Here is a 23,098-nt window from a genome sequence, read left to right as displayed (position 1 = left end):
GAGTTTGAGACCAGCATGGACAACATGGCAAAACCCCATTTTTATTTTTTAAAAAACCAAACAAAAAATTAGCTGGATGTGGTGGCACACGTCTCTGGTCTCAGCTATTTGGGAGACTGAGGTGAGAGAATTGTTTGAGCACAGGAGCACAAGGCTGCAGAGAGCCTGAAGGAGGGAAGGAGGAAAGGAAGGAAGGAAGGGAGGGAGGGAGGAAGGGAGGAAGGGAAGACGGGAGGGAGGGAGGAAAGGAAGGAAGGGAGGGAGGAAGGGAGGAAGGGAAGACGGGAGGGAGGGAGGGAGGGAGGGAAAATCACCACCAAGACAATTTAAATGACAAACGGGAAAACATTTACAGTTCATACAACAAAGATCTAATCTCCTTTGTACATGCTGACACACCTTGTTTTATTGTACTTTGCAAACAATTAAAAAAAAATTTTTTTAAACAAATCATAAGTTTGTGGCAACCCTGCATTGAGTCAGTGTATCAGCACCATTTTTCCAATAGCATGTGCTCACTCTTTATCTGTTTGTCACATTTTGGTAATCCTTGCAATATTTTAAGTTTTCATTATTATGTATCTTATGGTGATCTGTGATCAGTGATCTTCAATGTTACTGTCATAATTAAGGTGCTATGAACCATGCCCATTTAAGACAGTGGGCTTAATTGATAAATATGTGAGTTCTGACTGCTCCACCGACTGGCTGTTCCCTCATCTCTCTCTCTCTTTCTCTCTCTCTCTCTGATCCTTTCTATTCCCTGAGACAAAACAATATTGAAATTAGGCCAATTAATAACCCTGCAATGGCCTCTGAGTGTTCAAATGAAAGGAAGAGACTCACACATCTCTTATTTTAAATGAAAAGTTCAAAGTGATTCAGCTTAGTGAGTAAGGCAGGTCAAAAGCCAAGGCAGGCTGAAAGCTAGGCTACTGGTGCCAAACAGCCAAATTGAGAATAAATGTAAATTTTAATTTTCTTTCTTGAAGAAAATTAAAAGTGCTACTCCATTGAACACATGAATGATTAAGACAGTGAAATAGCCGTATTGCTGATATAGAGAAAGTTTGAGTAGTCTGGTTAGAAGATCAAACCAGCCACAACATTCCCTTAAGTCAAAGCCCAATCCAGAGCAAGATCCTAATTTTCAATTCCATGAAGGCTGAGAGGTGAGGAAGCTGCAGAAGAAAAGTAAGTGAGCAGTTTTGGTTCATGCGGCTTAAGGAAAGAAGCCGTCTCTGTAATAGAAAAGTGCAAATTGAAACAGCAAGTGCTGATGCAGAAGTTGCAGCTAGTTCTCCAGATGACCTAGCTAAGATAATTGATAAAGGAGGCTACACTAAACCACAGATTTTTAGTGTAAACAAACAGCCTTCTATTAGAAGATGCAATTTATAGCTAGAGAGGATACATCAATGCCTGGCTAAAGCTTCAAAGAACAGGCTGACTCTTTAGGGGCCAATGCAGCTGGTGATGTTAAGCTGAAGCCAGTGCTCATTTACCATTCCCTGGATCCTAGGGCCCTTAAAAATCATGCTAAATCTACTCTGCCTGCATTCTATAAATGGTACAACAATGGATGATAGCACATCTGTTTATAGCATGGTTTGCTGTTATTTTAAGCCCACTTTTGAGACCTGCTCAGAAAAAAAATCCTTTTCAAAATATTACTGTACATTGACAATACACCTCATCACTTAAGAGCTCTGATGGAGATTTAGGAGGAGCTGAATGTTGTTTTCATGCCTGCTAACACAACATATATTCTGCACTCCATAGATCAAGGAGTAATTTCAACCTTTAAGTCTTATTAAAAAATGTACTTTATAAGGGCATAGCTGCCATAGATAGTGATTCTTTTGATGGATCTGGGCAAAGTAAATAGAAAACATTCTGGAAAAGATTCACCATTTTAGATGCCATTGATATGGTTTGGCTTTGTGTTCCCACCCAAATCTCATGTTGAATTATGATTCTGAGTGCTGAGTGGTGTGAAGTAACTGGATCACTGGGGTGGTTTCTAATGGTTTAGTATCATCCCCTAGTGTTGTCTCATAATAGAGTTCTCACAAGATCTGGTTGTTTGCAAGTGTGTAGCACCTCTCCCGTCACTCTCTCTTCCTCCTGCTCCACCATGGTAAGATGTACTTGCTTCTCCTTTGCCTTCTGCCATGATTGTAAGTTTCCTGAGGCCTCCCAGCCATGCTTCATGTACAGCCTGTAGAACTGTGGAATCAATTCAATTTCTTTTCATAAATTACCCAGTCTTAGGCATTTCTTTATAGCAGTGTGGGAACAGATTAATACAGCCATTAAGAATATTCATGATTCATGGGCAGAGGTAAAAATATCAGCATTACCAGGAGTTTGGAAGGAATTCATTCTAAACCTCATGGATGACTTTCAGGGGCCTAGGACTTCAGTGGACGAAGTAATTGCAGACATGGTGGAAATGGCAACAGAAGTAGAAGTAGAAGTGAAGCCTGAAGATGTGACTGAATTGCTGCAATGTCATGATAAAACTTGAATGGACAAAGAGTTGCTCTTATAGATGAGCAAAGAAATTAGTTTCTTAAGATGGAAACTATTCCTGGTGAAGATGCTGTGAACATTGTTGAAACAACAACAAAGGATTTAGAATGTTCCATAAACTTAGTTGATAAAGCAGCCATAGGGTTTGAGAAGATTGACTCCAATTTTGAAAGAAGCTCTACTACTAGACACTGTGGCTTATGCTTAGCTACTCAGGAGGCTGAGGCAGGAGGACTGCTTGAGGCCAGGAGTTCAAGACCAGCCCAGGCAACATAGGGAGATCCTGTCTCTCAAAAAAGAAATGAAAAAATAATGAGCTTGGTGTGGTGGTGCATGCCTGTAGTTCCAGCTGCATGGGAGGCTGAGGCCTAAGAGTTTGAGGCTGCAGTAAGCTATGATCATGCTGCTGCCCTCCAGCCTGGGTGACAGAGCGAGAGCTTGTCTCTTAGAAAAAAAAGTCTGTTTCAGAGAAATCATTTGTTAAAAAAAGAGTCAATCAATGCGGCAAACTTCATTATTGTCTTATTCTAAGAAATTGCTGCAGTATCCCAAGCAGCAGCCATTAACGTCGAGGCAAGATCCTCCACTAGCAAAAAGACTATGGCTCGCTGAAGGCTCAGATGTTTGTTAGCATTTTTTAGCAATAAAGTAGTTTTAAATTAAGGTATATACATTTTTTAAAGGGAAAAAAACCCCAAACCAGTACTATAGTAAGAAAAAAAAAGGGCAAAAGAGATGAATAGGCAGTTCATAGAATAAGAAATATGGCCCTTAAGCATGAAAAGATGCTTGATTTAACTCATAATAAGGGAAGCGCAAATTCAGATTACACTGAGATTCCTTTTTCCACCTATCAGATTGTCAAAAATCCAAAAGTTGGAGAACATCGTTGTTGTGACGGCAAGCTACAGTGAACTAGGAATTCTCACAGATGGTCAGTAGGAATAAAAAGTGGTATAACCCCTCTGGAGGGTAGTTTGGCAATATTTACCCAATCTATAAATGTATTTACCTTCTGACCCAGCAATAGCGCTCTGTGCATTTTTCTACCCATCACCTGCATTTATGAAATGCTGTGCGTGTAAGTTTATTATTGTGACATTGTCAATTCTCCTTAAATTCAACTATACATTTAATGTGATCTCATTAAAATACCCAGAGAAAATTTTTGGAAGTTTATGTGAAAAAACAGACAAGTAAGAGTGCCAGGAGAATTCTTTCTAAAGAATTGGACTGTGATCAGGTAGCCTGATGCCTCCAGCTTTGTTCTTTTTGCTTAGGATTGTCTTGGCTATGTGGGCTCTTTTTTGGTTCCACATGAACTTTAAAGTAGTTTTTTCCAATTTTGTGAAGAAAGTCAGTGGTAGCTTGATAGGGATAGCATTGAGTCCATAAATTACCTTGGACAGTATGGCCATTTTCACGATATTGATTCTTCCTATCCATGAGCATGGAATGTTATTCCATTTGTTTGTGATCTCTTTTATTTCCTTGAGCACTGGTTTGTAGTTCTCCTTGAAGAGGTCCTTCACATCCCTTGTTAGTTGGATCAGTTGGATTCCTAGGCATTTTATTCTCTTTGTAGCAATTGTGAATGGGAGTTCACTCATGATTTGGCTCTCTGTCTGTTATTGGTGTATAAGAATGCTTGTGATTTTTGCACCTTGATTTTTTATCCTGAGACTTTGCTTAAGTTGCTTATCAGCTTAAGGAGATTTGGGGCTGATACAATGGGGTTTTCTAAATATACAATCATGTCACCTGCAAACAGAGACAAGTTGACTTCCTCTTTTCCTAATTGAATACCCTTTATTTCTTTCTCTTGCCTGATTGCCCTGGCCAGAACTTCCAACACTATGTTGAACAGGAGTGGTGAGAGAGGGCATCCTGGTCTTGTGCCAGTTTTCAAAGGGAAGGCTTCCAGTTTTGCCCATTCAGTATGATATTGGCTATGGGTTTGTCATAAATAGCTCTTATTATTTTGAGATACGTTCCATCAATACTACAAGGCTACAGTAACCAAAACAGCATGGTATTGGTACCAAAACAGAGATATAGACCAATAGACCAATGGAACAGAACAGAGGCCTCAGAAATAACACCACACATCTACAATCATCTGATCTTTGACAAGCCTGACAAGAACAAGCAATGGGGAAGGATTCTTTATTTAATATTTAATAAATGGTGCTGGGAAAACTGGCTAGCCATATGTAGAAAGCTGAAACTGTATCCCTTCCTTACACCTTATGCAAAAATTAACTCAAGATGGATTAAAGACTTAAATGTAAGACCTAAAACCATAAAAACCCTAGAAGAAAACCTAGGCAATACCATTCAGGACATAGGCATGGGCAAAGACTTCATGACTAAAACAGCAAAAGCAATGGCAACAAAAGCCAAAATAGACAAATGGGATCTAATTAAACTAAAGAGCTTCTGCACAGCAAAAGAAACTATCATCAGAGTGAACAGGCAGCCTATGGAATGGGAGAAAATTTTTGCAATCTACCCATCTGACAAAGGGCTAATATCCAGAATCTAGAAAGAACTTAAACAAATATAGAAGAAAAAAACAACCCCATCAAAAAGCGAGCAAAGGATATGAACAAACACTTCTCAGAAGAAGACATTTATGCAGCCAACAGACCTATGAAAAAAAGCTCATCATCACTGGTCATCAGAGAAATGCAAATCAAAACCACAATGAGATACCATCTGACGCAGGAAACGACACATGCTGGAGAGGATGTGGAGAAATAGGAATGCTTTTACACTGTTGGTGGGAGTGTAAATTAGTTCAACCATTGTGGAAGACAGTGTGGCGTTTCCTCAAGGATCTAGAACTAGAAATACCATTTGACCCAGCCATCCCATTACTGGGTATATACCCAAAGTATTATAAATCATGCTACTATAAAGACACATGCACACGTATGTTTATTGTGGCACTATTCACAATAGCAAAGTCTTAGAACCAACCCAAATGTTCACCAATGATAGACTGGATTAAGAAAACGTGGCACACATACACCATGGAATACTATGCAGCCATAGAAAAGGACGAGTTCATGTCCTTTGCAGGGACATGGATGAAGCTGGAAACCATCATTCTCAGCAAACTATCACAAGGACAGAAAACCAAACACCACATGTTCTTACTCATAGGTGGGAGTTGAACGATGAGAACACATGGACACAGGGCAGAGAACATCACACACCAGGGCCTGTCGTGGGGTGGGGAAGCGGGGAGGGATAGCATTAGGAGAAATACCTAATGTAAATGACGAGTTGACGGATGCAGCAAACCAACATGGCACATGTATACCCATGTAACAAACCTGCACGTTGTGCACATGTACCCTAGAACTTAAAGTATAATTAAATAAAAAATTAAAAAAAAAGAATTGGACTGTGATAAGGGGCTAGAATGACCAGATACTAAAACAAAAATTACAACTGTTGTAACATTTTTTAGAGGCCCCCCAAATGTTTTAAAAACGTAAATCCATTATTGCTACCATTATCTTCTCATACGCAAATGATTCAAAGTACATTCATTATATTTCCCACAGACAAATATGTCTTCCTGATTTTTCTATTTTTGGTAGTGGCTCTAAAATGAAGTGTAGTACTCATACAGTAGGCAGACAGACCAATTAAATAGAATAAAAATGACAGAAATAGGCCTCAATACAGATAGAAACGTAGTATAAAGCATCATTTTAAGTCAAAAGAGAAAATATAACTATTAAATAAATAGTGCCAGGACCCACTCTTTTGGATAGACATCTCAAAAAACTAAAACTGGATCCATAACTCCCAGCTCAGGATGATCAATGATTTAAATATAAAAAGAAGAAATCATACAAATATTAAAATTAACTCTATTATCTGACTTTGGAACAAGTGTTAATATGTTATAAAATCTAGTAGCCATAAATGACAAAAAGACTGATTAAATTCAACTAATAAACCTTAAACTTTTAGAATTGAAAGTTAAAGATTTATGAATGGTCAAAGGCACAATAGGCAAGTTTAAAAGAAAAACAATCACCTACAGAAAAATATTTGCAACTCATAGGTGTAGTTTCCCTAATACATATTGAGGTCCTTCATATTGAAAGGAAAGGATCAATAACTCATGAGAAATGAAGGCCAATGACATGAAAAGGTCATTTACAGAGCAGGCAATACAAGTTATCAGTCAACAATTGGAAAGATGTTTAATCTCGTTCATAATAAAAATAATGCAAGATAAAACTATGGTGAGGTACAATGTTTCAATGAGCAGATTAGCCAAGACAAAAATAATTGTTGATAAAGGCCTTCTCAATCAGCTGCTCTTATAACTGGATGGTGCCATTGTGAATTGTTCTATCCTCTTTGGAGGGCATCTGGCATTATAGATCACATTTATAAATATATATATACTCTTTGATTCAACAGTTGTATTTCTAGAAGTTGTCTTATGATACCACTGATGTGCAGTAACATGGGCATAAGGCTATGCATTGTAGCATTTCTTCTAATAACAAAATATGGAAACATTTTAAAAGCCTGTTAATAGGGGGCTGGGTAAAGTAATGATGGTACATTTGTACAATGGATACAGCACAGCCACAAAGAGTAAGAAAGCTTCCTCTGTTCTGATGTGGAAAAATACTGAGAATTAAGGAATATTGTTAAATGAAGATATTGAGATGTAGAATAATGGTCACAATATGGTTACCCTTTGTGTAAAAAAAGGAAAAATAAGAATTCATGTATGCATTTGCTGTGCAAGAATAGAATACTTTTGAAGGATACATGAGAAACTAGTAATAATGATTGTGTGTGCAGAAGAAAACTGGGTAGATGAGGGACAGGGAAAAGAGGGAGATATTTCACTGTATACCTTTTAAATCTTTTGATTGTTGAATCAGGTGAATATGTATTTTAAAACATTACCCTAAAATAAATACATAAAATCTTTGATAATTCATAATGGAAAAACATGAAGAGGAACATAATGAAAGTTTCTAAAACACTTTCCTTGTAAACCACATGAGTGTGGGGGAACATGATGGCTATTGCTCAGCTCAGTCTCTGCTTGATTTGAGATTGCGCAATTCTGCAAAGCTCAGGTATTACCAATTCAGGATAATCTTGAAGTTAGCAAATGGCCAGCCCAGTTTCAAGTTAAGTCCAGTTTCAACTTACTTGCTTTTTTATTTTTTTAGAGTTAGGTATATTGAAGCTGAGTTTACATTCAGTAAAATTCATCTTTTTTAGGTGTACAGTGTCTTGAATGTTGTCAAATGCATGCAATTATGAAACCATCACAACAATTAAGTTATAGGATATTATCATTACCCCCATCTTCTCCCCCAAAAGTCTTCTAAAACCCTCTCATAGTCAATCCTTTTTGCCTACTCCCAAACTCAGGTAATTACTAACCTGGTTTCAGTTTCTATTGTTTTTTTTTTTCTCCCAGGATGTCATATAAATGGAATCACACAGTATAGCATTTTGAGTATGAATTCTTTCTTTTTTTTTTATTTTTTACTTTTTGAGACGGAGTCTTGCTCTGTCACCCAGGCTGGAGTACAGTGGCGTGATCTTGGCTCACTGTAACCTCCGCTTCCTGAATTCAACTGATTCTCCTGCCTTAGCCTCCTGAGTAGCTAGGATTACAGACACCCCCCACACCTGGCTAATTTTTGTATTTTCAGTAGAGACGGGGTTTCGTCATGTTGGCCAGGCTGGTCTCAAACTCCTAACTTCAGGTGATCCACTGGCCTTGGCCTCCCAAAGTGATGGGATTACAGGCATGAGCCACTGCGTCCAGCTGAGTCTGAATTCTTTCAAAGAGCATAATGCATTTGAGATACAACCTTCTTATAGTGTGTATCAGTAATTAGTTTGTCCTTGTTTTCTGAATAATATTCTGTTTTATGGATATAACACAGTACATTTATTCATTCATCAGGTGGTAGACATCAGTGTTGTTTCTAGTTCTGAGTGATCATGAATAAAATCACTATAAAGATTCATGTACAATATTTATGTGGATATATGCTATTTCTCTTGGATAAATAAGAATGGGATCGCTGGGTTATATGGTAAGTCTATGTGTAACTGTATAAAAACTGTTTCTCACAATAATGGAACCATTTTTCTTCCTACAGCAATGTGTGTGTGTGTGTGCATTTATACATATACATAAATTTTCATATATGAATATCAAATATATATACCTACCACAAACACAGTGGCTTAAAATATCACAAATGATTATCTTATAGTTCTGGAAGTCAGAAGTCCAAAATTAGTATCACTGGACTAAAGTAAAGGTGTGGGCAGGGCCGTGTCCCTTTCTGTGGGCTCTCAGGACCATCTATTTTCCTGCCTATTTCAGCTTCCAGAGGCTGCGCACATTCCTTAGCTGGTGGCCTTCCTTTATCTTCAAAGCCAGCAATTGCTTAACCCTGACATTTGCTTTCTATCACCACATCTCCTCTGATGGACTCTCCTTCCTCCCTATTTCTCTTTTGAGGACACTTGTGATTAAATTCAGCCCACTTGGGTAATCCAGAATAATTTTCCCACCTCAAGATCACATCTGCAAAATCCCTTTTGCCACGTAAGATAGCACATTCACAAGTTTTGGGAATTAAGACATGAACATCTTTGCGGGTGAGGAAGGTTTTTTCTGCTTAGCAAAGATGATTTCAAGAATCATGATTTTGTAGCATACATACCATTTTATTTTTGTTAGGGTAAAATTGATGCTCTTTCCAGCTTTCTACGTCTTAGGCGGAAGTACAACATCCAAATAATATGCCTTCAGTTAATTTAGCTGATATGAATGAGGCAAAACAGTTTATTACTTGATTTAGAACTTACACCTAATTTTAGTTATCAAAAACTTCTGTGGATATGTTTTTCCTTTCGTGTGTGTGTGTGTGTGTGTGTGTGTGTGTGTGCGTGTGTGCGTGCATGTGTGTGTGTGTGTGTGTGTGTATGTGTGTGTACATCCCAAGTCTGGGCAGTCTATTTTGTGCCCAGAGGGTGGTGCTGTTGACATAGGTTTACTTCCATCACCTTCAAACTACACTTCTATTTATACTGATTTTTTTTCTTTTTTCAGCATCACAGGGTATTCTTTTATTTTATTTTAAGTTCCGGGATACACGTGCTGGACATGCGGGTTTGTTACATAGGTAAATGTGTGCCATGGTGGTTTGCTGCACCTGTCAACCCATCACCTAGGTATTAAACCCAGCATGCATTAGCTCTTTTCCCTAATGCTCTCCCCTCATCCCCCGTCCTCCCTCAACAGGCCCCAGTGAGTGTTGTTCCCCTCCCTGTGTCCATGTGTTCTCATTGTTCAGCTCCCATTTATAAGTGAGAACATGCGGTGTTTGGTTTTCCATTCCCGTGTTATCACAGGATATTCTTATAAAATCTTCCTCACCCCAACACTTGGACAAAAAGTGAATCTAGATTTTAATCTTCTTCTTGGTTAGTCACTTGCTGCTTGGTGGTTTAGAATCACTTTAAATTTTCATTTTAGGACATTCAGTTTTGTTTTCAAAAGCACTGGTCTGTATTCCTTGGTCTGATTCCCATCCTCTCTCCTGCTCCCAGTCCTTCAATGGAGCATGGAACATGTCTCTCTTTCGTAAAGTTTTTAAATGTTTTCTAGGAATGTTGCACATTTCTCTCCATTGTTGTTACCTGGCAATAATGAGATATATAGCCACAGGCACACATAAGAAAAAAGATTCCCTTCTGCAGAATCTATTTGCCAGCTAGGTTTTGATATTTGAAATAAATAAATGTTTTAAAAATGTAAATTCACTTATTGCTATCATTATCTTCTCATGTGTGAATGACTCAAAGTACATTCATCATATTTCCCTCAGACAGATATGCCCTCCCAATTTTTCTATTTTTAGTAGTGGCTCTAAGAGCCTTCTGAATAAAAGGCTTCAGATTCAAATCTTTGGGAATATTTTTATATCATCTCTTTGTTTGTCTTTTGTGTTAAATTAATGATCAAGCCTGGATACTTCTTTCTTCATTCTGTCTTTTCCACCTACCCCTTCTTTCCATTTCTGCTGCTATCCTATTTTTGGAACCAATTACTGCATTTGGATTATACAAATGACTTATTTTTATTAAAGAGAAAATTTATTATTTTTATTGAAGTCATAAATACAAATGTTTAAAAAGTTAAATAGTGTGGAAGTCTTCCTGGGAAAAAGAAAAGTCCTTATTCTCTCAATTTTCCACTCCCATTCCATTTCCCATGGTGCGAAACTCTTTTAACATTTTTATCATTTTCCATTTTTATTTGTTCTAGGTAGTTCTATCCACACTTATAAATAATATGCATAAACTATGATTTCTTCATTCCTTCTTTTCAGGTTTTTCTATTGGATTCCTGCCATGATAGATGGTGGTTAAGCTCATCTACCCCATTCACCGTTCATTTTCTCTTCTACTGACTGTTCTCAGTTCCTCTTTTCAATACCTATGCAACTTTAAATAATATATTTGCATTTTAATTTCTTGTTCCAACAACTATAGAAAGGATCTCCCCATTTTGAAAGGTTAGAGCACTAGAGATGTCCTTCATCTCTTCTCTTTCCTTTTCATCTTCCAACACGTCACCTGTAATTTTGCTTTGAAATTGTTAGGGTTGATTCTATTTATATTCTCTGATCCCAATTAAGTCTTGTGTGCTCTGTCAGTATATTGATTCTGTAACTGGGAAGAAAAACGTTTAGGTAAATTGGCTAATATCTAACCCAGCTGTGCTCTCTGATTTCATTCCCCTTCTTGTATACTTGTCCCTCCCACCCTCATGACACCTGCCTTTATTGTTTCTTAAGTGTTTGTAATATTCAAGCATTATGGAATGTTGATGGCACCTTATACATTTTTTTCTTCCTGAAAATTTTTTCCTGGAGCCTCCATCCTTTGATTGCATTGATTTCTCTCTAGGCTTGTTGCACAGCCATCATCCTGGGGGCCTCTAAATGTCAGCATGTGAGGGTGGCTGTCTTAGTCCGTTTGGGTCATAAAGGAATACCTGAGGCTGCGTAATTGATAAGGAAGAGAGGTTTATTTAGCTCAAGATTCTGTGGATTGTACAGGAAGCATGGTGCTAGCATCTGTATTTGGGGAAGGCCTCAGACTGCTTCCACTCATGGCAGAAGTAGGTGGAAAGTTGGCTTGTGCAGAGGTCACGTGACGAAAGAACAGACAAGAGAGAGAGGAGGAGCTGCTAGGCTATTCAAACAACCAGCTCTCATGGGAACTAATAGAGCAAGAACTCACCATCCCCCTTTGGTTGGGGGCAAAATAGGAAGAGCTTTAAACTATAGAATGAGGAATTGAGGCTTTACACGGTTGACCATGGGAGCTACTGAAGGTTCCTGGGCAAGCGGAGGCATGACAAAAATGATATCTGGAAAGTAAACTGGCAAATGTTAGAGCAGTATTTTTCAGACTTTTTTTCATTATTGTCCCCCACCCCAGAACATTCATAGACATTTTTTCCCTAATTGCCACTCCTCATGAAATTTTAAGAGCACAGATAAACTGTATGTCTGTTTTTGGAGACAGCCTTTCTCTTCATCTGCAGCCTCTTTTCTGTGTATTTCTGGTTAGGGCTTCATAGTCACCACTTCTTCAGCTTTCCATTTCTCAAAAATTTGATGACATCTCTCTTGCACTAATGGCTTTCCTTCTGTTCTCTTACAAGTGAGTTTTTTACTCCCATTATTCTCATTTAATTGAGTCCATGGCTCAGACTTCCATCTTGAACTGAATGTTCTGAAATGACTTCTTAAGTGCCCATGCTGTTTACAGCTTCTTCTGCCATTCTGCCAACACCGCCTAGATTCCTCTGTGTGACCAGTATATCTCATTTCTTGAAGACTCAGCCTTACTTCTATTACTAGGCCAAGTCAGCCTGTCATAAAGAAGGTCATGGTTAACCACCTCTGTACCTCTGTACCTCCTTCACCAAGTATCACTAGTTGTCCTCCTGGGTTGTGGGCCAGGTCTGAGTGCTCATCTCTGGGTCCCAGATTAGTCTGCAAATCAGAGCTTCTCTTCTATGTCCTGGGCTCCTAGGACTTAATTTCTGCTTTGCTTCTGTTTCTAGCAGGTTTTTCTGTTGTCAACCTCTCCTCTTGCCAGTTGGCAATCTTGTGAATCTGCCACAGCTCCAAGATGACTATGGCTCTCAGGCCCCAGTCGCCAGCTCAGATTCCCAGTTAGTGGGTGCTGTCTGCCTTCTTGGGACCTCATAGTCTTCTCCTGGAAACCCAGGTGCAAACTGCTGCCTGCACCTACCCTGAGGTGGCTGCCTCTTTAGAACACTTCCTTGTCCCTTCTCCTGGTTGACTGCCCTGCTGTTAGCTCAGTCCACCTCCAAACTGTGCTCTGATCTAACTTATTTTCTTTCATTAGGCCCTGTCTTCTTTATCCCCTGTGCTGGTTTGGGCTTTTACGTGGAATACAAAAATACTTCCTACTCCCATCTGTTGATATATCACCCTCTGCTATGGTCTGAATGTTTGTGTCTCTCCAAATTTATGTTAAAATCCTAACCCCCAAAGTGGTGATATTAGGAAGTGAGACCTTGTGGGAGGTGGAGCCTCACGCATGAGATTAGTGCCCTTATTCACAGGCCCCAGGGAGCTTGTTTGTCCCTTCCACTATCTGAAGACATGGTTGGAAAGTACCATTTATGAACCAGGGAAGAGGCCCACACTAGCAACCATGTTTGCTGGCACTTTGATTTTGGACATCCCAGTCTCTAGCACTGTAAGAAATAAATTTCTGTTGTTTATAACCTACTTAGTCTATGGTATTCTGTTATAGCAACCCAAATGGACTAAGACATCCTCCAATTTTACACATTGTGCAATCTACACATTCTCAGTGGGGGCAATGTCACTCATAAGAGGGTGAAAACTGGTTATTGGGAGCTGAAAAAATCATACTCTTTTCATGTTTGTATATCAAAAGTACAGATATATACACACAGTCCATAAACAGACATACAGTTTATCTGTGCTATTAATATTTTACAGGGGATGGCAATTAGGGGAAAAATATCTATGAAGGTTCTGGGGTGGGGGGACAATAATAAAAACAAATCTTTTTTTTTTTTTTTTTTTGAGACAGAGTCTTATTCTGTTGCCCAGGCTGGAGTGCAGTGGCACAATCTCGGCACACTGAAACCTCTGCCTCCCAGGTTCAAGCCACTCTCCTGCCTCAGCCTCCTGAGTAGCTGGGATTAGAGGTGCTGGACAACTCGCCCAGCTAATTTTTGTATTTTTAGTAGATATGGGGTTTCACCATGTTGGTCAGGCTGGTCTTGAACTCCTGACCTTGTGATCCACCATCCTCAGCCTCCTAAAGTGCTGGGATTACAGGCAGGAGCCACCGTGCCCAGCCATGAAAACAAATCTTGACAATACTGCTATCATGTTTGTCCGTTTACTTTCCAGACACCACTTTCGTCATATCTTCACTAACCCAAACACCTTTGGTAGCTCCCATGGTCAACTGTCTAAAGTCCCAATTCCTCATTCTGCAAAGAATGTCCCTAACCATCTTTCTAGTCCTAGCTCTCACTTCTCTCCTGACATAGATCATCCACTCTAGTTAAGTTGCTATTCATACTCTTAACCACAGTTTCTGCTTTTCTACTTTGCTCTCACCGGTATGTTACCTGAATATCTTCCCCTCATCTTTTTCCCTACGAAAATCCATTCAGTTTTAATGTCCTGTCCAAACCTGAATATCATATTTAAAACTTGCCTAATCACTTCAGCCAAGAGATCTCTCATTTTTCTATATTTCAGTGGTATATCTTATCTGTATTCTGCAGTTGATGGAAATTTATTACTAAGTGCTTTTAACTATCCTATTCAGCTCTTTCCTCCAAGAGAATATAAGTCCTTGAAGAGCATTTCTGAGCCTTATGCTCCTCTCTGCCTAAAGCATCCTTTGTGCAGTTGACACTGATACTTTTTGGTAATTTTTTTAATTATTTCTAATTTTAATTAACATAAAGTTCAAGCATATGTATTGGAGAGAGAGGTAATAGGAGGAATTTTGTTGATGAGGTAAAGAAATAGATTCATGTAACTTTAAAAATATATTTCTTTATCTTTCTAACTAAGATAATGGGTACATTTATCATCAAGCAGAGCACAATGTTTTGCAGACATAAACCAAAAACTCCACAGAAGACTAAGGCCATGGTATTTTCATTTCTCCTTCTTTAAAACAAAAAACCTAAGCAAACAATGATTATAACAGCTAGAGCCACGTAGAATTTTAGAGTTCATAAGAACTTCAAGAAATTACAGATAATCACTGCTACTGAGGATCATCTCTTTTTGTGGAGAAGAGTAATCTCTGCTTAAGAGCTTAAAGTAATTTCAGTCTAATGGAGCAGCCTCCCCTGTGGGCCTCCTAAATACCTTGCCAGACTGGGCTGGACTGGATTACCTACATTAAGTGTAAACTTATGTCAGGAAGACAAAAGGGAAAAAAGGGGGAGAAAACGAAGAGATGTTGATTCAGCTTCAATAAACTTTCATATAAATTTATATCTAAAAATTTAGAACAAAATTATTTCCTTTTTTTTGAGACAGGGTCTTACTTTGTTACCCAGACTGGAGTGCAGGGGTCCAATCACGGCTCACCACAGCCTTGACCTCCCAGGCTCAAGTGATCCTCTTGCCTCAGCCTCCCGAGTAGCTTGGACTACAGGTGTGTACCATCACGCTCAGCTAATTTTTGTATTTTTTGTAGAGACGAGGTTGCCCAGGCTGGCCTCGAATTCCTAGGCTCAAGTGATCCCCCAGTCTTGACCTCCCAAAGTGCTAGGATCACAGGCATGAGCCACCACGGCTGGCCTGAATGAAATGGTTTTTCTTACTGTGTAGTTAAGCTTGTATCATTTCAAAATATTAAATTGTGTTTTTCAGTACATATTGGCTGGGAATGCCCACCAAAATCTTTTTAGTGTTTAGGGTGTTAAAGGTCTATATCTACCCTGGGGAAGTGCAGATCAGGGTTTTGGTTGGAGGATCCTGGATGGCGGGATGCATCTGAGTTAGGTGGGTCTTAGGGAAAGGGATGCTGGAATGGGAAACCCCAGGGTTCAGTAGGGGGATGTGGATGGGGTGTTCTGGCAATCATTATGCTAATATGGGTGCTATACAGAAATACCTAATATATCTCACTAGAGTACTGATAAAGAGTATGGCTCTCAAGCCAGACCAACTGAGTTAGAATCCCTTCTCTACCAATTACCAGCTCTATGACTGAGCAGTTTACTTGATTTCTCTGATGTTTTCCTCATGTATAAAATGAAGATAATATTGTTGCACTTCATTGAGAACTAACATGAGTTAATAATTGTGAAGGCACACCTGGACAGAGGAAATGCTCAAGCATGGACATTTTTATATCCCCAGCTTCCAGTGCTATGGCTGGCATGTAGAAAGCATGTGACAAACATTTGCTGAATAATAAATGTGGGACTGCCTGTGAGATGAATGAAGCAGACCATTCCTGAGTAGTTAATGAATGATGCTGAGAAGATCCTGATTCTAGTGGCTCTTTATTAAAATATAATCTTAAGTAAAATGACTAGTTTTATGTTATCAATGTGTATTGCTAGGTTCTGTTTTTATATATGTGAAAGCATCATTATTATTACTTTCTTGTTTTTTCTTTTGTTGTTGCTGCTGCTGAATCCTCACCAGGAAGGAATTAAGATCTCGTTTCCTCACTGAAATCCAGAAAGAAAAGGTTGGTGTTGTGTTCCCTTAGGTTTGAGCCGTGAGAAGCGTCTCTGGTTCATGAGTTTTGGGTGGTAGGAGTGGAAGTAGGATGAGGGGATTATGTAGTATTACCCCTGAGCAGGAAGGCAGGCTTTGAGTAGAGAAGGTGAGGTAGAGCCCTAAGGTTGAGATGGCAGGGAGAGTACAGAGGGGCCCTTTCTGTGGGATTGGTTTGTATTCCAGTCCCAGTTCCCATGAAGTACCCTGGAAGATGGCAAGGTCTTTGATGTGGTCACTGATTTGGGCAGTAGGGACTGAGGAATGGGAGTGTTCTGGAGCTGCTCCTTCAAGTGAATCATCTAAACTTGTATCTTTTCAGAGAGCAAAGATGAACTGGTTACCTTAGAAGCCCTTTATATATATATATAACGAGATTGTGTAAGCTCCACCAATTTCTTTTGTGATATCGAGGAAGGGGGGGTGACTCACAAAGCATGATAAAGTTTGGGGAAATATTTTATTAATATGAAAGATGAGGAATTTAGATTCTGACATGATGTGATTTTTAAAAAGAGATAATAGCATGAAATGTCTTCATCTTAGTGTTGTGGGGCAAATTTGAAGCATCTGTAGTGTACAGTTTAGCAGCTAATTAGCTGAAGCTAATTAAAAGGAAGATACCTAAAATTAATTTTTGATGATAGACATTGCTCTGTAAATTTGGAGCTTTAAGGTGTGTATTCACAGATTATTTTCTCTTTAGGAACAGGATTGCTAAATTTGTGTAGGTTATTATTGAGGCACAGGCAGCCTAAAACATGCCATAGTGATTTGAACAGTCCACTGTAGTGACTTGCTGTGTGGTTCACTTAAGAGGCAGCTCTACAACATTCCCCATCCCCTATTGCTTTCCATCAGCCACTGCGTCAAAGGCCTTGCCACATTCCAGGCACCTCATGGGACTTGGAAACGGGATGCAGGCCCAAAATCATCGAGAAGGAATCTCTCTACTGCCCTTCTATGGCCCCACCTCACTTTCCTCTACTCAAAACATGTAAATACATGGCCTTGATATTTAAAATATGAAAAAATTTATTATGACATTAGCTAAATATAAATGACTAAGTTTCAATTTCTATATTTATAAGAGATATAAGTTAGAGATGAGAAGATGTAGGCCCCATTACATATGTAAAAAAAAAAAGATCCTGTGTGCATTCAATGATTGATTGTTGAATGAATGCACCATAGTCCCTATGTGTTTTATACAGCCTCTGTATATAAAACACTTACAGCAAGCATGAGATAGTGTGATGAGCATGGCCTTTGCCATCAGAGGAACTCAGATTTAAATTCTGACTCTTCCCTCTTGGGCAAATCACTTGTCTTTAATTGGGAAAATCACTTATTTTCAAGATGGTACTAATAAGAACTTCTGCATAAAATTGCTATAATGATTAAACAGGGAAACATAAGTAACACATCTAACAAAGCACCTAGAATATAGTAATTATTCAATAAATATTTTGTGATAGTTAAGATAAACAATTCCAGCTGCTGTTAATATCTAAATCCAGAATTCTCAGACACTTAACCTTATCAAATCTATTCCTCACTCATTTCAGTGTGAGTATTTCTGGATGGGAGGAATTTTATGTGATCATTTAGGGAATTTCATGTAATCATTTAGGGACTAAGTCTCCTTTCTTTTTATGGCTCTGTCCTCTATGTCCTTAGAATTTTCTCCATTTAGCCTATAGATGGAGAAAGTAGGGTGATGTATGGGAAGTTTTGTTGGCATGCACCACTTCTCCCCATTTTCCATTAGCTAGAACTCTGTTATAGACACAAATGTAAGGGAGACTAGTTAATGTAATTTTGTTGTGTGCTTAGAAGAGAACGTGTGTTTGGTGAGCGTCTAGTTAGTTTCGGCCACAGTTTTATTCTCCTTCCTCTTCTATTTTTCTCTTTAAAAATCCAGGGATATTTTTATTTATTATTGTTGAATGCTTTTTCTTTTTGAAGGTCTAATTCATCTAGAATTTCTTATACATAAAAAGTCCTTTTTTGGTACCTGACCAAGTAGTGATCAAGGTTTGTATCAAAACCCTTGAAGGAGATGAGAGAGGGGAGGAGAGAGAGGGAACAACATGCAAGCATATTTAGTGCTTGTAAGGATGAGGTGAAATAGGCACTCTCATTTCTTCCTCATGAAAGAATAAATGAGTCCAACCCTTCTGCAGGGAAATTTGATTTAAAATATTTATACTGCTTGACATGGTAATTCTAGTTTTTGGAAATGACCTAAGGAAATGCTTTGAAATGCAGATATAAATCTGTGTAAAAAATGTTCACTATAACATTATTCATAGTAACAAATAATTGAAGACAATCTAAATGAAAACCCTAGGGAAATGGTTAAATAAATTATAGTATGTACACATAATGAAGTGTTATACAGCTGTTAGAGATAATCTTTAGGAATAGAATTTAACAACACAAAAACGCTTATGCTAAAATGTTAAGTGATGAAAATAGAATATACAGTTTTAAAGACAGTGTAATTCTACCATGGACAGAAAATATTCAAGAAAAATATTGGATATAACCCATGTCTATATCTAGAGTAGAATGGATAAATTAAATTATTACATATCATTTAATGGAATATTCAGCAATGAAATAAACTCCAGCTCCACCAAATAATGTGAATAAATCTTGCATATACATTGTTGAGTGAAAAAAGAATCAAGATATAAAATACATATATTATGATTTAATTTATATAAACTTTAAAGAAGAGACAAAATTAAAATAATAATTTTAGTAACACATGCTTATTTGATAAAATTATAATGAAAAACAAACAAGTAACTAGTAAATCTTTAGCAAGTCTAAGAATTTCCATGAGATTTTTGAAAACCTTTAAGGAGAAACATATAAATAAAACATGGAATTTTCTGCTACTCAAGCAGGTGTGGGGTGAGAGCATCAGTGTTTGGAGTACTAATGTAAAGGTGACCTCATTTGTTCATGCAGCCTGGTAAAACCTGGAACACACAGTTCCACAATCTACTGGTTTATAGTCTTTGGTAGCAAGTAGCAGAAATAAACTCAGGTACTTTGTATAAAAAAGAAATTGATCGTGAGTATATTGGATATATCACTTGGTTTTATTTAACCCCAAAGTAAACAAAAACACAATTACATCTGGCTTAAATAATATGGACCTTCATTATCTCAAGTAACAAGAAGCCCAGAGGTCCCAGAGTTGGCTAATTCAGTAGCTCAATCAGAGACTCAGGTACCTTTTGTCTAGCTGTTCTCTCTAACCACAGCCTGTTGGCGAGTCTCTCCTTGTGGCTTTAAGATGCCTCTAGGTGTTCCAGGAATCATGTGCAGATATGACGATATCCAGATAAGGGGGGAAGGGGATGATAAAAAGCTTGGGTGATACAAAGTTGACTTTATCCCAAGCTCTGTAGCGTACCTGTGCATAAACCAATCAGTGGTAAGGAGAATGAGACTCTTCATACCTGGCTTTAACTTCACTGCCTTGGGTCTGGGAAGGGGCCCAGTGACTCCTAGACAAATGACCAATTAGGGCTTCTGTTATCAAGGAAGAGGTAGGGAAGAAAATGACTGTTGGATGAACAACCAACACTGATTCATCTCAAAGAATTAGGGGAAATAACAACTAAATCTTGAGTATGATGGAAAACAGCTGAGTATATTTTGGGAACTTAGCAGCAGGAATACATGAATTTTTCATCCCTTATGTGTTGCCATTACTATAACTCCATTCCAACAATTCCCTGTCTCTGTCTTTCAGTTCAAAATTTCAAATATTGGAAATGACAGTATTTGAGTGGTCCAGCTTGTGTTAGCTGACCATTCCTGCATCAATAAGCTATAGCTGTGCAGTAAAGTTACTAAGAACAGTCATGGCTGTTGGATACCCACCTCCATAGGTAGCCATCAAAGAGGTGTTTACTGTATTCACCTTCCTGATTATCTGGTGAAGAGGAAGGTGAGAAGGGTATCCATTTCATGTTTTAATAATTATCTTATTTTTGTTTAGACTTCATTATCCCCATATTCTGGTAATTTCATCTTTGACACTGTATTTGACACAAAGAAAGTGTCCTTGACACAAAGAAAGAAACTTGTTTAAGGTAGGTAAACTAGTTTAACTATCTTAAAAGAAACTAATAGTAACCATGAGTTCTGACCAATACACATCTTGTGTTTCATTCTGTCAATGCATAAGAAAATAAAGTATGAAATAGTTGTGATACCAAACATATGGATGAAAGTCCTAGTAAGAAGCACCACCATACCTGGATAATTTTGGTATTTTTAGTAGATACAGGGTTTCACCATGTTGCCCAGGCTGGTCTCAAACTCCTGGCCTTAAGTGATCTGCCGGCTTCGGCCTCCCAAAGTGCTGGGATTACAGGCATGAGCCACTGCACCCCGCCTAAGAAAGCAGTTTAATTCTTCCACTGCTAACTCTATTAAGGAAATAGCACCATACACTTTAGCCAATGCAAATGTAATTGGGGCGGGGGGAGAGAATAGAAGAGAGATGAAGAGACAGAGATAGAGAGAAAGCGAGAGAAATATTGGAGAGAGAAAATTTGGGTAGTTAGTATAACATTGCACTTCAGATTTCTTTACCTGTAGTGAGAGAGGGTGGAGACATCCATTCCCTCTTGCTTCTCATAGCCTGAGCATCCCACCACAAAGTGTCGGATTCTAATAATGTTTAATGATAATACACTTTTCATGAAACATGGTGTCATGTGAATAAATAGCAATTTGTTGCAAAGCTCAGAAAAATAGGCATCTTGAAAGAGAGAACTTTATCAAATCTTGACATTAAGAACTCTAATAAATACTAAGCTGAATAAAAAAGCATTAGGTAAGAGGTTGGAAAGGCTTTTGGTTGTAAAATTGAACCAAAAAGGTGACCCAATTACAAAAGTTTTTACTTTCAGATTTTCTGCTGAAGAGAGGTACAAAGGAATTGAAAGCCAACTAAGGTGGGCATAAACATCGAAAAATCTGCTTCAACTTCAAATGTGCAAACTGCTGGAGAAGCTACAACATTATATTTTGCATGCTTATTCTTTAAAATATACTCGACATTGCTGTATAGATTATACATTTATCCATAACATTGTATAATTCAGAGTTACCCATCTAGAGCAAATATATCCTTTATCTTATGCAATCATGATTTAAGAGATTTTCACTGTGATTCTTGTGACTTTTCCACAGTTGTTGATTCTGCAAAGCCCTCAGATAAATCACAACTTAACCGTGTGTATGTATAAAGGTAGTTCTCCCCATGACTTCGTTATGTAAGAATCAGCTATAGCTCCTTTCTGACTTTAAAGACAGCAAGAACTTTTGAGCATATAATTTTCAGTTGGCTATAAAAATAATTTTTAAAAATTGTGAAAGTAATAGGATAATATTTTAGAAAATTGAGGATATAGAGAAAGAAAAAAATACCACTCTAATAAGTAATGTTTTACCATTTTCAAAATAGTTCTTCCTGTTGTTTGTTGGAGCCTCTGAAGGGACTCCATGTACAGAAACACCCCTCCCCACTTGGTTCTGATCAAGTTAATAAACTAAAACAAAAAATAAGGCAGAGGAGGTCCAAAAATTATCTTTACTGTTGGGATAAGGGCTCTTGGTCTGCCATATGGGTTGCTAATATTGAATATTGATTGAACATTGAATATTGCTAACATTGAGTGTGCCAGCAATACTAGCACAGTAGGCCTCTCTTTGAAGGGTCAGACTCCTGGAATATCAGAGGAACATGAGTTCCCTGAAGCCAGGACAATCCTAAGGGTGAATTGAGTCAAACACCCTCAGTTATTCTTTCCAAATTTAGCAATCAGTTAACCCAACTGACTCCACCTTTCTAGGGCCAGTGTAAATAAAGGGAAGAGGGGAGGTTAAGAGGAGAGCTTAGAAGAAAATCCTTTCCACAGAAAATGGAAATGGGAAAAGGTGTTTTGTTTTTATGAGTTTTTAAAAAACAAACAGAAGAACATATTTCTACACTCATATAAAGAGAACAAAGCAAGAGTTTCAATGGAGTCACGATTGTTGTCATATGAAGACAAGTGTGTAAAAAAAAGAGTTCACACAGCAGGTTTGGGACTGCTAGTCTTAGAAATGCCTGCTTGAAAGATTGGCCTTTGGATGGCATCTGGAAATTCGGGTTTCGAGAGGGTTTTCATCATGACCAGAACTGATAAGAGAAGCTCACTGTGCGTAAATTGTTCAAACAATATGAATTATGTGGAACTCTTGCTTTCCTTCTGGGAGTTCGGAATTTTGATATATGTTAAGCAGAGAGTGCCTACACAACCGGCCCCCAATAAAAATCTTGAGAAGTGAATCTCTAACGATCTTCCTTTAACTTATTGCTGGGATAATAAGTGTGTCCCATAGGAATCCACTGGAAGAGGGCTCTTGGAAGCTTGTGTGTGGCCTCCTCTGGACTTTGCCCCATGGGACTTTTCCTCTGCTGATTTTGCTTTAGGCCCTTTTGCTGTAATAGCTCTTCACTGTGACTTTATACGAGGACCTTTGAGGCTTCCTAGAGTATCACTGAACTGGGAGGTGTTCTTTGAGCCCTCCAAAACAACATGGATAGTGTGGTTTCTATTGTTCCTTCAGTTCCCAGTGTTAAATCAAGTTTAGCCTAAAGCTGCCTCCTTACGTATGTT

General features: G+C 38.3%; 1 long non-coding RNA gene across 1 annotated transcript; it reads left to right on the top strand.

Moving 5' to 3' along the window:
- The first annotated feature begins 15,310 nt into the window (after positions 1 to 15,310).
- On the top strand, positions 15,311 to 22,767 carry LOC105377402 (uncharacterized). Its single transcript, XR_939167.3, has 3 exons — positions 15,311 to 15,324; positions 16,326 to 16,371; positions 21,344 to 22,767. It is a non-coding gene; the product is annotated as an uncharacterized LOC105377402 (long non-coding RNA).
- The last annotated feature ends 331 nt before the right edge of the window (positions 22,768 to 23,098 follow it).

This window comes from Homo sapiens, chromosome 4 (assembly GCF_000001405.40).
Source record: "Homo sapiens chromosome 4, GRCh38.p14 Primary Assembly".
NCBI classification, from domain to species: Eukaryota; Metazoa; Chordata; class Mammalia; order Primates; family Hominidae; genus Homo; species Homo sapiens.
This window is presented reverse-complemented; position numbering and strand designations above follow the sequence as displayed.